The sequence below is a fragment of the Homo sapiens genome, chromosome 2, assembly GCF_000001405.40.
Source record: "Homo sapiens chromosome 2, GRCh38.p14 Primary Assembly".
In the NCBI taxonomy this organism is placed as follows: Eukaryota; Metazoa; Chordata; class Mammalia; order Primates; family Hominidae; genus Homo; species Homo sapiens.
In genome coordinates, this window is record NC_000002.12 from 238,656,997 (window position 1) to 238,658,491 (window position 1,495).

At 50.9% G+C, this 1,495-nt stretch overlaps 1 annotated feature.

Annotated features, from left to right (window-relative positions):
- Nucleotides 354–976: an enhancer, noted in NCBI's record as "OCT4-NANOG-H3K4me1 hESC enhancer chr2:239565991-239566613 (GRCh37/hg19 assembly coordinates)". NCBI's record gives its function as "activates a minimal SCP1, AML or CMV promoter by ChIP-STARR-seq in primed H9 embryonic stem cells {active_cell/tissue: H9 hESC(primed)}" and the evidence as "EXISTENCE:reporter gene assay evidence [ECO:0000049][PMID:30033119]".

A 1,495-nucleotide genomic window follows, 5' to 3' on the forward strand; every position in this document is an offset into this window, starting at 1 on the left:
GACTTCCCATGCGGCACTGTGGCGTGAGTGGGGTCACTGTGGGGAGGGAAGAGCCGAGGAGACACTGATGTGTCTGCTGCGGGAAGGTCTGGTTCTCTGTTCAGGGTGCAAGAGCTTCACAATTAAAGCCCATTATGTTTCCTACATTAAAAAAGGCTCCAAAGAAGCACATGTCTCCAAGTGTCATTTGATTTAATAGTTCAGTACAAATGGCCTTGTATTCTACATGGTTATGTAATCTGGTAACCAGCATGCATGCAGGCAACGAAGTCAATATTAAAGTATTTGTTGATGAATAGATTTTATTTTTAGCTGAGAAGTTGGCCAACTGGGAGGCCACATGGAGGAGATTAAGGTTTCACAGGAGCCATCTCATCAGACTGTTGCAGAAAATGATTATGAATGCTAATAGGAATCCCATGCGTGCCTCTGAGATATGGGGCTTTCCCTGGAAGGATTTTACAGTTTGAGAATAAATCTCTTTGGTCTTAATAATTTAGAACAAACAAATGTGTCTTTCCATCTTCCAGGCTTCAGCCAGCTCAGCTGGAACCTCCTGAGTGTTTGCCAAAATCTCTTCGCCCCGTCTCTGGCCCTGTGACATCCCCATGTTCTGAATTCCTTGTTATGCAGAACCCTTCCCGCTGTGAGCACAGAGCCTCGCATCACATCGGCAGAAGCTCTTCCAGGAGAGGGCCCAGGTGGGAGGCTGTGGGCTGGATGGGGTCAGGGTTCTCACTTAGTGATCTGCCCCCTGCTTGGCCCCATTGCCTGAACTGTCTCCATTGTCATGCCTTAGAACTCCCAGCGTTTTAGGTCTCTTTCAAGTAGCCCTTGCAGGGAAGCCCTTGAGCCTCCATCAGCCCACACAGGCCGGGAGAGGCTCTGTACAGCACCAGGGAGCCCAGTCACTGTGTGTGCCAGATCACAGGTGCCCCAACAACTTGTGCAATGCAACAGCCCTGCCTGGGGAGGAATTGGAGTAAATGGGATGAGAGTTAAAGGGACACTTTGTGCTTCCGATGATGCGAGGGGGACTGAGAGAGACGATGACAAAGTGGGCAGGGGCTTGGAGAGGCAGCTTGTGCCCTTCTCCTTTTGCTGAGTTGTTCTGGGCTTAGTTGCTTCCACATAGGTCGCAGTGGGAAATCCAGAAGGTCGGTCACTTGCTTTGCAGGACACCTGGCACATGGAGAGCTCCGGTGACTTTTTGTGTCCTTGCAAAGGGGACCTGAACCATGTCTCACATCTAAAACAACTTTGGGTGCTGCGGCATGGCCCTCTTCTCCCTGGACACTGTAACATTTGAATGTGCACCCTAGAAGTGCTTGCGTCTATCACAGCAGGCTGGCAGCTTGCTCTGTTTGTCCCCTGTGCGTCGAAGGCAGGGGTTACAAGAAGAGCAAGGTGCTGCTTATGCAGGAAGGAAAAGTGCCCAGGGCAGTTGGGGCCCAGGAACGAGGAGGGCACCATTTAAGCAGTAGGGCTGGATCCA